This window comes from Homo sapiens, chromosome 9 (genome assembly GCF_000001405.40).
Source record: "Homo sapiens chromosome 9, GRCh38.p14 Primary Assembly".
Classification (NCBI taxonomy): Eukaryota; Metazoa; Chordata; class Mammalia; order Primates; family Hominidae; genus Homo; species Homo sapiens.
The window spans coordinates 21,335,423-21,351,158 of record NC_000009.12 but is presented as its reverse complement, the minus strand read 5'-3'; the positions used below and the strand labels follow the sequence as shown (position 1 = coordinate 21,351,158).

At 37.6% G+C, this 15,736-nt stretch overlaps 1 protein-coding gene and 1 long non-coding RNA gene across 2 annotated transcripts in view, besides 1 other annotated feature; one reads left to right on the top strand and one right to left on the bottom strand.

Moving 5' to 3' along the window:
* Positions 1-271: 271 nt before the first annotated feature.
* IFNA6 (interferon alpha 6) lies at positions 272-841 on the top strand. Its single transcript, NM_021002.2, has one exon. It carries the CDS (start codon positions 272-274, stop codon positions 839-841), a length of 570 nt encoding a protein of 189 aa, NP_066282.1.
* LOC107987053 (uncharacterized) overlaps positions 13,858-15,736 on the bottom strand; it is a 69,713-nt gene continuing 67,834 nt past the window's right edge. The window contains exon 3 of the long non-coding RNA XR_001746634.2: positions 13,858-14,538. This is a non-coding gene — a long non-coding RNA (uncharacterized LOC107987053). The remainder of the gene's footprint in view (positions 14,539-15,736) is intronic.
* Positions 15,566-15,735: a silencer, noted in NCBI's record as "silent region_19806". NCBI's record gives its function as "represses an Ori minimal core promoter by ATAC-STARR-seq in GM12878 lymphoblastoid cells {active_cell/tissue: GM12878}" and the evidence as "EXISTENCE:reporter gene assay evidence [ECO:0000049][PMID:35858748]".

Genomic DNA, 15,736 nt, shown 5'->3' with positions numbered 1-15,736 from the left:
GACTCTGGAGGCAGGCAAGAGAAGGGAGTGTCAATAATGACCACATACACACACAAACACACACACAAAACTGGTTGAAAAACTACTCTATACCCATGTAGAGAGTAAATAAATGAAAGCAAAATCAGACGTAGAAAGTAAATTCTGAAAATGGAAACTAGTATGTTCCCTATTTAAGACCTACACATAAAGCAAGGTCTTCAGAGAACCTAGAGCTGAAGGTTCAGAGTCACCCATCTCAACAAGTCCAACAGCATCTGCAACATCTACAATGGCTTTGCCTTTTGCTTTACTGATGGCCCTGGTGGTGCTCAGCTGCAAGTCAAGCTGCTCTCTGGACTGTGATCTGCCTCAGACCCACAGCCTGGGTCACAGGAGGACCATGATGCTCCTGGCACAAATGAGGAGAATCTCTCTTTTCTCCTGTCTGAAGGACAGACATGACTTCAGATTTCCCCAGGAGGAGTTTGATGGCAACCAGTTCCAGAAGGCTGAAGCCATCTCTGTCCTCCATGAGGTGATTCAGCAGACCTTCAACCTCTTCAGCACAAAGGACTCATCTGTTGCTTGGGATGAGAGGCTTCTAGACAAACTCTATACTGAACTTTACCAGCAGCTGAATGACCTGGAAGCCTGTGTGATGCAGGAGGTGTGGGTGGGAGGGACTCCCCTGATGAATGAGGACTCCATCCTGGCTGTGAGAAAATACTTCCAAAGAATCACTCTCTACCTGACAGAGAAAAAGTACAGCCCTTGTGCCTGGGAGGTTGTCAGAGCAGAAATCATGAGATCCTTCTCTTCATCAAGAAACTTGCAAGAAAGGTTAAGGAGGAAGGAATAAGACCTGATCCAACACAGAAACGACTCCCATTGACGACTACACCAGCTTGCACTTTCATGATCTGCCATTTTAAAGACTCTTGTTTCTGCTATAACCATACCATGAGTTGAATCAAACGCGTCAAGTATTTTCAAGTGTGTTAAGCAACATCGTGTTCAGTTGCACAGGAACTAGTCCCTTACAGATGACTAAGCTGATGGATCTATTTATCTATTTATTAAATGTATATTTATTTGACTATAATATTTAATTTTTTGCCCATATAAAAGCATAAAATGTATACCTTTATATTGTTGATAACATAACAAAATATATTTTCTATGTTTAGTCGATGTATTATTTTGTTTAGTTTATTAAATATTTACTATAGAAAACTTCTTGGATTTGTTTATTCTCTAAGGAGAAACACCAAGCCGATTCTCCAACATGATTTAAAAATGTATGGTTCAATTCATTGATTCATTGTTATTATACTCAAGTTATAAGTACAGTACAAATTTACATTCTATAAGCCAGCTTGTAAGTTGACTTCAGGTTATAGAGATGAAGATACAAATACACTTCATGCTGTCTTTTATCTTTCTTTGTGTAGGGAAAAAAACCTAAAAACAAGAATAATCATTAAATCTGTTAGATAAATGATATAAGAAGAAGACCAAAAAACAGTATTTTTTTTCAGCAGAGCTGGAGTAAGGCATATCAGGAAACAAAAACAAAAGCAGCAGATATCTTCTACAGTTGACTGGTAGACACATAAGTGCAAATGTGCACTGGCAATTTGATATTTCAGTCTGCAATTTTCAAGCAATGCCGTGACCTGAAACTCCAGGAACAGCAGTGGTCATGTGAGAAGTGTTTACAGAATGACAAAATGACTGAAAATTTCCTCCTGCAACTTTCAACTTTAAAGGGAGGAAAGAGCTACAATGGAAACAGATTTGGAATGGCCAAATATTAGAAGGAAAAGAGAGAATGGTGATAATAATAAATTTAAAGGACTAAAACTGCTTAGAAGAATTGATGCATTCATGCAAAATATAGAGTAGATTGAAACTGCCTGGTAATTTGGGCATTGGTGATCTTAGTGGAAGTTGATTGGTAGAATCAACCAGTTGACTGATAGACTTAATCAGTAGAAACCATACAGGAGTAGGTAGAAGAGTAAATAAGAGAAGAGAAGGTAATGGCAATATATAGAGAAAACAATTTTGAGAAGTTTGCCTTCTTGCTGATGGCTGATGTGAGACCTAGATTCTTGTCTTGCTAGTTTTAAGAATTTAAACAAGAGACACACGGCGGTGGAGATGCAGCATGGAGTAATTTATTGCCAAAAAAAAGAAAACGAATATTTTGAAATCCAGGTGCAGAATAGACAGTACACCCTGAGACAGACAGGATTCAGGGCAGGCTGCTAGTAAGGATGAGAAAGTAAAGACTAGTACTAGGGAGACTCCTTTTATGGGAATCTTCCATGATTATCCATAAGGAGGTGGGAAGAGGCGTTACTAGTAAGCATGTTCTTGGTTGTCCTCTGGGTGCACATGTGCAGTAACTGCATATGCTTGTTGTAACACCGTATGTCTCATTAGCATCTTAAATCTTCTACCCACGGGTTTATTCTTTACTATTATAATGAGCAAAGGGTCACTCTGAGGACAGGTAAAATCAAAATGTGCATTCTCTCTACAGGGGAACTACAGCTTTGCTTGAATGAGTTCAATTACAATGTTAATGCTAAAGCTTATTGTGGTGATGGTATGGTCACCAAGGTTGTGACATCCTGATGATATGGTTACTTCCTTGACTACCTATCCTGCCTCATCATGAAATGAAGGAGAGAAGTAAAGTAGGACCTGGAAAAGGACATGAATTAATTTTTATATGCATAGCTTTCCATTTTTGGAAATATGTATGTCTATAGATAGATTTCATGGATTTGATTATTGAAAAATCATACTAGTATAATTAATATTTATTTTAAATTATGACATATCAAATTATTTATAATGATAACATCATTATTTTGGTTAATACTATCTTGACTGTCAGTAAACTGCTCTATGGATTGAAATCATCTACTACAGTAGAAAAACAGATGGAATTGGTGACCTTAGTGAAGGTGACTTGGTAGAATTTACAAGCAGAAACTATATTGGAGTAGGTGGAAAGGTTAAAAAAAAAAAAAAAAGAAAAATTCCTATTACCATTTTTTGGCCTGGGGAGTCACTTTCCTTCTTTCATGTTTATCATATTCAGATTTGCATTTGTCTTCCTTTCTCTTCAACATATCCAAATGCAATGACAATTTATAAAAACATTAATTTGGAGAAAGAATAAAAGGATGTATTGAAAATGATAGAAAATAATGATATGAGCTCTTTATGTTTCCATTTGTACTTCCCTATGTTGGTATTTACCTTAAGATAAAATAGAAAGTAATTCAGAAGCAGCCATACAGCACTTGACCAGAAAAATATGAAAATAAAAAAAAGAATATATGAATTGTTTAGACACTGAAACCAGTAAAGAAGAGCAGACTAATTTCATCTAGCAGCATTGCTGGACCTCACTGCCTTAAATTTTCACCTTGAGACAGATAATAACAAACCATGAAGTTCAGTAGAAATGCACTGACTGACTGATCTAGGGACATTTAGTAGTTACTACAATGTAATCTTATTTTTCTTTTCTATATTTAATTTTATTTTATTTTAGGTTCTGGGATACATGTGCAGAACATGCAGGTTTGTCACATAGGTAAATGTGTGCCATGATGGTTTGCTGGACCTATCAACCCATCACTAGGTATTAAGCATCACATGCATTAGCTATTTATCCTGATGCTCTCCCTCCCCATGCCTTCCAATGTTGTTTCCCTTCCTGTGTCCATGTGTTCTCATTGTTCAGCTCCCATATATGAGTGAGAAAATGTGATGTTTAATTTTCTGTTCCTGTTAATTTGCTGAGGATAATGGCTTCCAGCTCCATCCATTGTCCCTGCAAAGGACATGATCTCATTCCTTTTCATGGCTACATAGCATTCCATAGGGTATATGTACCATGTTTCTTTATCCAATCTATAATCAATGGGCATTTGAGTTGATTCTATGTATTTGCTATTGTGAATAGTGCTGCAATAAACAAACACATGCATGTATCTTTATAACAGAATAACATATATTCCCTTCGGTATATATCTAGTAATGAGATTGCTGGGTCAAATGGTATTTCTGGTTCTAGATCCTTGAGGAATCACCACACTGTTTTCCACAATGATTGAACTAATTTACATTCCCACCAACAGTGTAAAAGCATTCCTATTTCTCCACAGCTTCGCCAGCATCTGTTATTTCTTGAGATTTTTAATAATCGCCATTCTGACTGGGGTGAGATGGTATCTCATTATGGTTTTAATTTGTATAATGATCAGTGGTGTTGAGCTTTTTTTTTCATGTTTTTTGGCCATATAAATGACTTCTTGGAGATGTGTCTGTTCATAACCTTTGCCCACTTTGTGACAGGGTTGTTTGGCTTTTTTTTTTCTTTTGAAATTGATGTAAGTCCCTTGTGGATTCTGGATATTAGACCTTTGTCAGATTGATAGATTGCAAAAAATTTCTCCCACTACATAGGTTGTCTGTTCACTTGGATGATAGTTTCTTTTGCTGTGCAAATGCTCTTTAGTTTAATTAGGTTCCATTTGTCAATTTTTGCTTTGGTTGCAACTGCTTTTGATGTTTTCGTCATGAAATTTTTTCCCATACCTATGTACTGAATGGCATTGCCTAGATTTTCTTCTTGGGTTTTTTTTTTTTTTAATTATTTTACTTTAAGTTCTAGGATACATGTGCAGAACATGCAGGTTTGTTACAAGATGTACATATGCCATGGTGATTTCCTGCACCTATCAACCCATCATCTACAATAGGTATTTCTTCTAATGCTATCCCTTCTCTAACCCCCTACCCCCTCGACAGGCCCCAGTGTGTGATGTTCCCCTCCCTGTGTCCATGTGTTCTCATTGTTCAACTCCCACTTATGAGTGAGAACATGCAGTGTTTGGTTTTCTGTTCCTGTGTTAGTTTGCTGAGAATGCTTTCCAGCTTCATCCATGTCCCTACAAAGGACATGAACTCATTCTTCTTTATGGACGTGTAGTATTCCATGGCATGTATCTGCCTCATTTTCTTTATGCAGTTTATCATTGATGGGCATTTGAGTTGGTTCCAAGTTTTCACTATTGTAAATAGTGCTGCAATAAACATATGTGTGCATGTGTCTTTATAGTAGAATGATTTATAATCCTTTGGGTATATACCCAGTAATGTGATTGCTGGATCAAATGGTATTTCTGATTTTAGAACTTTGAGGAATCACTATACTGTCTTCCACAGTAGTTGAACTAACTTATACTCCCACCAACAGCATAAAACCATTCCTATTTCTCCACATCCTCCCCAGCATCTAGGGTTTTTATAGTTTTGGGTTTTACATTTAAGTCTTTAATCCATCTTGAGTTAATTTTTGGATAATGTGTAAGGAAGGGGTCCAGTTTTCAGTTTTCTCATATGGCTAGCCAGTTTTCTCATTTATTGAAGAGGAAATCCTTTCCCCATTGTTTGTTTTTGTAAGGTTTGTTGAAGATCAAATGGTTGTAGATGTCTGGCCTTATTTCTGAGATCTCTATTCTGTTTCATTGGTCTATGTGTCATTTTTGGTACAAGTGCCATGCTGTTTTGGTTACTGTAGCCTTGCAGTATAGTTTGATGTCAGGTAGCATGATGCCTCTAGCTTTTTCCTTTTTGCATAGGATTGTCTTGGCTGCATGGGCTCTTTTTGGTTCCATATAAATTTTAAACTAGGTTTTTTCTAATTCTGTGAAGAATGTCAATGGTAGTTCAATGGGAACAGAATTGAATCTGTAAATTACTTTGAGTAGTATTGCCATTTTCATGATATTGATTCTTCCTACCATGAGCATGGAAAGTTTTTCCATTTGTTTGTGTCCCCTCTTATTTCCTTGACCAGTGGTTTGTAGTTCTCCTTGAAGATGTCCTCCACATCCCTTGTTAGCTGTATTCCTAGGTATTTTATTCTCTTTGTAGTAATTGTGAATGGGAGTTCATTCATGATTTGCTCTCTGCTTGTCTACTTTTGGTATATATGAATGCTTGTAATTTTTGCACATCGATTTTTGTATCCTAAGACTTTGCTGAAGTTGCTTATCAGCTTAAGGAGCTTTTCCGCTGAGACAATATAGGATTATGTGGTCTGCAAACAGTCAATTTCACTTCCTCTCTTCCTGTTTGAATACCATTTATTTATCTTGCCTGCTTGCCCTGGCCAGAACTTTCAATACTATGCTGAATAGGAGTGATGAGAGAGGGCATCCTTGTCTTATGCTGGTTTTCAAAGGGAATGCTTCCAGCTTTTGCCCATTCAGTATGATATTAGCTTTGGGTTTGTCAGAAATGGCTCTTATTATTTTGAGATATGTTCCATCAATACATAGTTCATTGAGAGTTTTTAACATGAAGGGATGTTGAATTTTATAAAAGGCCTTTCCTGCATCTATTGAGATAATCATGTGGTTTCTGTCGTCAGTTCTGTTTACATGATGGATTACATTTATTGATTTGCATATGTTGAACCAGCACTGCATCCCAAGGATGAAGCTGACTTGATCATGGTGGATAAGCTTTTTGATGTGCTGCTGGATTTGGTTTGCAGTATTTTATTGAGGATATTCTCATCAATGTTCATCAGGGATACTGGTCTGAAGTTTTCTTTTTGTGTTGTGTCTCTGCCAGGTTTTGGTATCGAGATAATGCTGGCCTCATAAAACGAGTTAGGGAGCTGGTACCATTCCTTCTGAAACTATTCCAAAGTACCATTCCTTCTGAAACCATCCCAATTTTTTTTTTTTGGAATTTGGAGTGGTGAGAGAGGGCACCCTTTTCTTATGCTGGTTTTCAAAGAGAATGCTTCCAGCTTTTGCCCACTCAGTATGATATTAGCTTTGGGTTTGTCAGAAATGGCTTTTATTATTTTGAGATATGTTCCATGAATACACAGTTTATTGAGAGTTTTTAACATGAAGGTCCAATTTTTTTGGAATAGTTTCAGAAGGAATGGTACCAGCTCCTCTTTGTACCTCTGGTAGAATTTAGTTGTAAATCCATCTGGTAATAGGCTTTCTTTTTGGTTGATAGGCTATTTATTACTGCCTCCATTTCAGAACATGTTATTGGTCTGTTCATGGATTCGACTTCTTTCTGGTTTAGTCTTGGGAGGGTGTATGTATTGAGAAATTTATCCATTTCTTCTAGATTTTTTAGTTTATTTGCATAGAGGTGTTTATAATATTCTCTGATGGTTGTTTGTATTTCCGTGGGGTCAGTGGTGGTATGCCCTTTATCATTTTTTTATTGTGTCTATTTGATTATCCTCTCTTTTCTTCTTTATTAGTCTAGCTAGCAGTGAATTTTATTAAATTTTTTCAAAAAACATCTCCTAGAGTCATTGGTTTTTGAAGGTTTTGTTGTGTCTCTATATCCTTCAATTTCCTTTGATTTTAGTTATTTCTTGTCTTCTGCTAGCTTTTGGATTTGTTTGCTCTTGCTTTTCTATATCTTTTAGTTGTGATGTTAGAATGTCGATCTGAGATCTTTCCAGCTTTCTAATGTGGACATTTAGTGCTATAAATTTCCCTCTAAACACTGCTTTAGCTGAATTCCAGAGATTCTGATATGTTGTCTCTTTATTCTCATTGGTTTCAAAGACACATAACCATCAGATTCTCCAAGGTTGAAATGAAGGAAAAAATGTTAAAGGCAGCCACAGAGAAAGGCCAGGTGACCTACAAAGGGAAGCCCATCCGACTAACAGTGGACCTCTCAGCAGAAACCCTATAGGCCAGAAGAGAGGGGGGCCAATATTCAACACTCCTAAGGAAAAGAATTTCCAACCCAGAATTTCTTATCCGGCCAAACTAAGCTTCATAAGTGAAGGAGAAGTAAAATCTTTTTCAGACAAGCAAATGTTGAGGGAATTCATAACCACCAGGCCTGTCTTGCAAGCGCTCCTGAAGGAAATACTAAATATGGAAAGGAAAAAACAGTACCAGCCACTACATAAACACACTGAAGTACAAAGACCAAGGACACTATAAAGAAACTGCATCAACTAATCTGCATAATAACCAGTTAGCATCATGATGATAGGATCAAATTCACACATAAAAATATTAAACTTAAATGTAAATGGGCTAGACGCCCCAATTAAAAGACACAGACTGGCAAATTGGACAGAGTCAAGACCTATCAGTGTGCTGTTCAAGAAACCCATCTCACCTGCAAAGACACACAGAGGCTCAAAATAAAGGGATGGAGGAAAATTTACCAAGAGAATGAAAGCAGAAGAAAGCAGGGGTTGCAATGCTAATTTCTGACAAAACAGACTTTAAACCAACAAAGGTAAAAAAAAAAAAAAACAAGGCAACGAAGGGCATTACCTAATGGTAAAGGGATCAACTCAACAAGAAGAACTAAGAATTCTAAATATACATGCACCCAATACAGGAGCACCCACATTCATAAAACTAGTTTTTAGAGACCTACACGGAGACTTAGACTTCCACACAATAATAGTGGGAGACTTTAACAGCCCACTGTCAATATTAGACAGATCATCGAGATAATTAACAAAGATATTCAGGACTTGAACTCAGTTCGGATCAGGTGGGCCTGACAGATGTCTGCATAACTCTCCACCCCAAATCAACAGAATATACATTCTTCTCAGTGCCACGTAGCACTGCCTCTAAAATTGACCGCATAATTGGAAGCAAAACATTCCTCAGCAAATGCAAAAAAACTGAAATCATAACAAACAGTTTCTCAGACCACAGGGCAATCAAATTAGAACTCAAGATTAAGAAACTAACTCAAACCCACACAATTACATGGAAATTGAGCAACCTGCTCCTGAAAGACTCCTGGGTAAATAAAGAAATTAAGGCAGAAATCAAGAAGTTCTTTGAAACCAATGAGAACAATGTAATCTGATGGAAGCAAAATCATCATAAAATCCCCTGTGGCCAGCTTAGAAACTTAAAGCATAAAAAGTATTCAGCAATTTAATGAATTGAATTCAACGTAGATATAATCCACATTTGGAAAAATAAAATTAATTTTGCTATTCAACATAAAAATTTTGCAAAGGATAATTTACCCAACCCCTGCCCACGCTCACACACTGAACATAAATTTTTGCTCCTATCATCTGAAGGCTATGAAAATATTGACGTTAGTACCAGATCAAAAAAAGAGGAGATCACTGCTGACAACCTAGTTCAATCACAGCAACACTCTGCTGTCTTGGCCAATTGACTGTTTGAAGGACAAAAGCAATCATCTTCCAGTAATGATGTGCCAAAATTTCTCAATTGTGATGAGCTGACTCCTGCCAGCACATTTAGAGGGAGTTAGGGAGGGTTAAATTGGAAGATAGGTGGCTGTGTGCACATTAGGCCAGAGGGTCAGATTAAAGATGTGGTCTCTAACTTGAGGGGTAAGGAGGTGCTGGGGAAAGAATAAAAATGTTGTGGTTCTTGGGATTAGGATTGATATACCCACATCTGACTTACTACCACTGTTCGTAGAAAGCAGAGACATCAATTAGGCAAGGTAAAGAAAAGGGCCCAAATATCATTTTCCATTATTCTGAATTAATTATTGGAACACAGATACATCAGGAATGAGAGTACTGGGAAAAGATGAGAACATCATTAGACTTAGAGAACAGGCAAGGCAGGTCAGGGGAGACAGCAGGGCCTAGGGCTTCTAACCAAAGGTCACAAATAATTTATCTGAGTGTGAGAGAGGTCTTCAGAGTAAAATCCCAAACATTGTGATTCAGGGTTATGAATTGGCTGATGAAGGGAGTTCAGCACACTTGAACAGGACAGCCTTTCAATACCTTTTCATCAGCCACTTCCCCATCCCATCTCAGGTGAACCTGGGGACAAGCTTCTCTCTTGTGTAGAGCCAACATGGAAAGCAATGGCGAGCCCCTGGAAAAACTTTGATCTGATATGTACACATAGATAGATATAGATAAATATAGATATAGATAGGTAAATATAGATTAGATATCAGGTTAATAATAGCTATTTAGATAGATGAAATATATATATATGTATTGGCTTGGATCCCACTAGTCTTTGGAAATCTTAAGCTATCCCAGGAATTTTTTCTAGCACAATTGTTTTTTAAAAAGCAACTCATTTTTGAAAGCATAACACACAGAATGAAAGTATACACGTCTTACGCACACAGTGACATGGTTCCTCACACACTGAATACATTGTGAAAGTAGCAGCATGTCAGAAACAGTTTGCTCAGGACTTAGAAGCCTCTCTAGTGCTCTGTGCCAGTCAGTACCTAAGTAAGACCAACTCTTCTGCCTCTGCCCTGGGGATAGACACTCTCGCTTCTAACAGCAGTGATTATTTTTGCTAGGTAGTTTCAGCCATTTCGTATTTATTAATCTGATTGTTACAATAATCCTATGAGATCAATACTATTATTCTTCCCATATTACAGACGAGGAAACTAGGGAGCATAATGTTCATGGTACTTGCCATGGTCATATTGCTATTAAATAGCAGAGCTGGAATCCAAACCAGGAACTCTGGCTCTAGAGTCATACCCTTTAGTCACTAAATTGTGCTGTCTAAAATAGCATGGCAAGCTCGATCAACAGTCTGAATCAATACAATTAGATGTGTTTAGAGAAATAACCACTAACCACCACATAGCACTTTGTAGATTGTTCTGCACATACCTTTTGACTTCCTCCTACTTACGGCTCAGACCCTGTGAGCAGGCATCTATCTCTGAGGGAAAAAGACTTGCCCAAAGGCCACAGCTAAAAAGGAGAATATGTGAGCTGAGAACAGTTTGGGGTCTATTATTTTCTTCACCATTTCACAAAGGACAGGAGAAAATAGACCAAGAGGATTTCATGAGTAATCCTTTTCTCCAGTGAGGCCAGCTAGGCACTCTGGACATGGTTGGTGCTAAACTTGTAAGAAGTCCTATTCAGGCCCGTCTCTTTACTGAAGATTTATGTGTTACTCAACCCCTCAGAATCCTTGGGGTACCTGAGTTCTTCACTGCACTTATGCAGGTGATAGGAGGTCTGTCTGTGACCCAGACAGATGCCACAGGCAGGTAAGACAATAATTGAGGAAATGAGTGAAGCACAGTGAGTAGGGCAGACGCTGTGAGTTTGGGTCTCCAACAGGGTAACTTGTGAAGAAGAGAAAGAAAGAAGAACCTACCCGATCCTGATAGCCCCCAACCTTGGGGAAACATGATATCCACTGAGTGCATGAAGTTTTCCATCAGCACACCTAGACTCAAATCCTAACTCTGCCAATCACTTGTGCACTCTACGTGGATCACCTTTTCTCTCAGCGTCCTGCTTTCTTCATTGATAAAGTAAGCTTGATAGTATTACTATTTACACTGTAACTGGTGGATTAAAACATGTAACATATTATTTATTTTATAGATGGCACATAATAATAGATTTTTTCTTTCCCTGTTCTTTCTTAACACTGATGAAAGAAATCAAAAACAATGTTTTCTTTTAATGCCTTCTTAGTATTGAGTGCTCTTGTCAATTCTGCATTCATGACAAACAACAAAGTCTAACTTAGATACATTAAACACAGAGAAAAGAACACTGTACATACAGGTAGAACCAGCTATGAATCCTATCTCTGCCCCTCACCATTCACTAAATGGATGTCTTCAAGACATCTCTTATCAATACTGATCCGCAGATCACTCCTCATATCATCTCTGCTAAGAGAGAAATTTATAAAATGTTACCAAAGTATGAGTGGGTTTCATGACTAGGCAGTAGAGAATAGGAAACCAGTGAATCAATAAACTCACAACGTGGTGGTTTGCAGACATTCTCTGCATGGCAGCTAAATACACTTCCCTAGAAGCATCCCCATCTGGTCAGAGATGGCCTTTACTACGATGGCCATCCTTGTCCAGCCTTACTTAGGTTTCAGTATTTTTGCACAATTAGCATCCCTGGTGTACGAAGAATGTGATAAATGAGCTCTCTGAGCAGTCATCTACACTCTCTCTGAAGAGTATTTGGATTTTATTTATCCACATTAATAAAGAGAGCCCATTTGTTTGAAAGAAAGAAGTAGGATTTCAAACGCATTTTCCATAAGTTTTAGATGTTCTCAATTGTCTGGCAATAGGAGAAATGTAAAGGAAAATAACAGTTATATGTAAACAAAATCGAGAAAGTTGCATCATAGGGAATATAGCTAACATCTACATAAAGGGTTTATATATACTTTTAAGAGGGGCGTATAAAAGCATAATTCATAAGAACAATAAAAACTACAATTAATGCCATAAAATGAAATCTAAATAGAATTAAGAACAGCAAGTGAAGCAAATGGAAAGGCATTATAGCCCACTAGTACTCAAAAACTATTAAACAATTATTCTTGAAATTTTAGATTATTAAATAAGCAGTAAGACAATATAGCCTATGAAATAAAGTATTAATTTTATATGCTTTGTGCCATTATATCCATTCCCTGAAATCAATCCTAAATAAAAGTTTGTAAAAAGGTTACAAAATTATATCCGATAATACAAACACACATTTTTCTCCAGGTACTACCTTCTTGCTCTTCTTCCACTCACAGATAAACTTCTAAAAGAAGTTTCCATCCACTGTGTCTCCAACCTCTCCTGCTATTTACTCTAGTCAATATATTCCAATCTGGATTTTGCCAAATTAATTCTGGCAAACCAGTCCTTTCTTTTCCTAAATGTAAAACGTCATGTTTTAAACACATTTCTTCCCTTAAACACCCTCTTATCACAATTTTCTCCTGGTTGTCCTCCTATTTTGCTCCTGGATGTCCTCCTATCATTTCATTCACATGCCCTTTTCAGGTTCCTCACTCTGTTCACTACATTAAGATGTAAAGGTCCTCAAGATCCAGGTTTTGGTCTTCTGATTCACTACTCAATTTCTACCAGACCTCATCCATCCTTGGGCCTTCAGGAAAAAGGTATAGCCCAGCTCCCAAATGAACATCTCTAGCCATGCACTCTAAATCCCAGAACTGTGTATCCAATTTTCAAGGCTTAAAGTCTTCCAGTTTCTGATGACAAAAACCACTTTTCTTTTGCCTATGGTTTGAGTTTATGATAGAGTTGAAATTAATTAATTGGTTAATAGTTTTATTTCTCCCTCAGCAAAAAGTTTCAAGAGGGCTGAAGCTGTGTTTCCTTTATTCACTTTTCTATCCTGAAAAGTCACATATCAAGTGTTTCATACAGTGTGAATGGAATGAATGAACTGAACTTCACTTGAGGTTGCAAAACCAACCTTGGCATTGATTTATTGAGTAAGGCCAGGTATGGTGGCTCATGCCAGTAATCCCAGCAGTGTGGGAGGCTGAGGTGGGAGGATTGTTGAGGCTAGGAGTTTGAGGCTGTAGTGAGCTATGAACCTGCCACTGCACTCCAGCTTAGTGACAGAGCAAGACCTTGTGTTTGTTTTTTTTAAATAAACAAATGCAAAATGATCTGAAAGTAAAACTCGAAATAATAAAGAGAATAATTTTCAAAATATAAAGTGAGGGGCCAGGCATGGTGGCTCACGCCTGTAATCCCAGCACTTTGGGAGGCTGAGGCAGGCGGATCACAAGGTCAGGAGTTTGAGAGCAGACTGGCCAGCATGGTGAAACTCTATCTCTACTAAAAATACAAAAAATTAGCTGGGCATGGTGGCGCGCACCTGTAGTCCCAGCTACTCGGGACGCTAAGGCAGGAGAATTGCTTGACCCTGGGAGGCGGAGGTTGCAGTGAGCCGAGATCGCACCACTGTACTCCAGCCTGGGTGACAGAGCGAGACTCCGTCAAAACAAAACAAAACAAAACAAACAAACAAAATATACATAAAGTGAACACTTTTTAATGTAATTAGCACAGTGTTAAAAGTGAACATTTCATACAAGCAAAAATACTGAATACAATAAATGTAGTAGAATCAATAATTAAGTACATGGGTAAATTAATAATATCATCCATGGTGAGCTAATGCCCCTAAGAACTGGATGCTTTATCATACAGTTGCTTGACATTACCAACAAGTATTGTGACAAATTTGATTCAATCATTTCATTATGCAGGCAGAAAAGATAGTCTTTTAAAATAACTAAACATATGGGAATATAATGAAGAGTGTCTATAGTAATCATTTCATGAAGACACAAGTCTGTTCCTAAGCTATTAATCTTACTTGCAAGTTTGATGAAAAAAAGAAGGATCTCATGATTTCTTGCTCCAACTTCCCATGTACAGAGGCTCTCTTCTTTCTTTTCCAGATAGAGACTGATTCCTTGGAAGTAGCTCTTCACAGCATTAGGGAGTTGTCATGGCCTGAGAGAGCCCTTCCACCCCTAACTCATTCAACAAGCAGGGCTCCAGGACTTCCCAATGCTGATAAAAATTCAGTGAATAATTTCTCCAGGCCAGTTTCATTCCAACCAACCTCTTGTGTTGAATAAGGTGACAATCTGCTGGAGCACCTTGTGGAGGACAGTGGTAGTCTAAGCCTTCTGAATTTTGCTGCCATCCCTTGGAAACAATAGAAAACATTCAAAACAGATGAACTGCCCATCAACAGGGCACTGGTTAAATAACTTATGATGTAACAACTCAGAAGGCAACAACAGAATTGTTTAAAAATATAAATAAGCCCTCTACACTAATTCAGGAAGATCTTGAAGTGAAAAAAAAAGATGCAGAACAGTGTACATGGTATGCTATCTTTTACATAAAAACGAGGCGAGTGTAAGAAAAACATGACTACATTCTTACTTTGCATATGCATAAAGAACTAGAAGGATTTAAAAGACAGAAACTTCAAAATTTGGAAAATGGAAGAAATTGTGTCAAAGTATACATTTATTTGTATGTCAAAATTTAAATTTACCACTAATTAAAGAAATGCAAGTTAATAAAATACTCACAAAGGGAAAAGTCAGAAGAAGGGAAAGACACAAACATTGTTGGTGATAATATTTTGGAAATATTGTCTTGGATCAGTATTTTACTAAATATTATCCATAACAGGGCTAAAATTTTGCTACCAGATTGTATAAGTTTACTACCGAGTCTATAAAACAATGGAGGATAAGAAGGTACACATTCAGGAACAAACCAATGGGCAAAGGAAACTATAGTATGTATAGTTATTGGAAAATTATGTAGCCATTTTTAAAATTGTGGAAAACAAAGGCATTTCAAGCCAAAAATTTAGAATATATCATTTACATAATAAAGTAACAATCTAGTAAAGACAAATATTTTGCGTTTGAAATTGTAACAAATTTGAAAATATGAACCAAAATTGTAACTGAAGTATCTACTACATAATGTGGGATAACAATTATTGTTTTGTAGAGGAAAAAAAAAATTAAGCATCCAGGTTTCCTCTCAATTTATACAAATGCCGCATTTCACTGTTATTCAAAAAAACAGAAGCTAGGAAGCGTAAAGCTTTGAAAAATTATGCATTTGGGGAACGTAAGAGCTCAGATATGCGAAAAACTTATATCAAACGTGCAGCATAACACACTTGCTTGCACACATTCTGTCCTATTTGGTCCCACATACAAGGCAGCTCTAAGAGGCCGGGCTGGCGCCCACCCCACACAGCTCCGCTTCCCCAACCCTCGCCCTCCCGCCTCCCGGGTACTTCCTCCCCCTTCCCCACCCCCACCCTCCCGCTGACTGACGAGGTCTGGAGGCCGCGCAGCCGCAGTAGCCGCTA

What these genes read in the sequence shown, in the direction of transcription:
- IFNA6 (NM_021002.2), top strand. Translation starts at nt 272, where the DNA reads ATGGCTTTGCCTTTTGCTTTACTGATGGCCCTGGTGGTGCTCAGCTGC.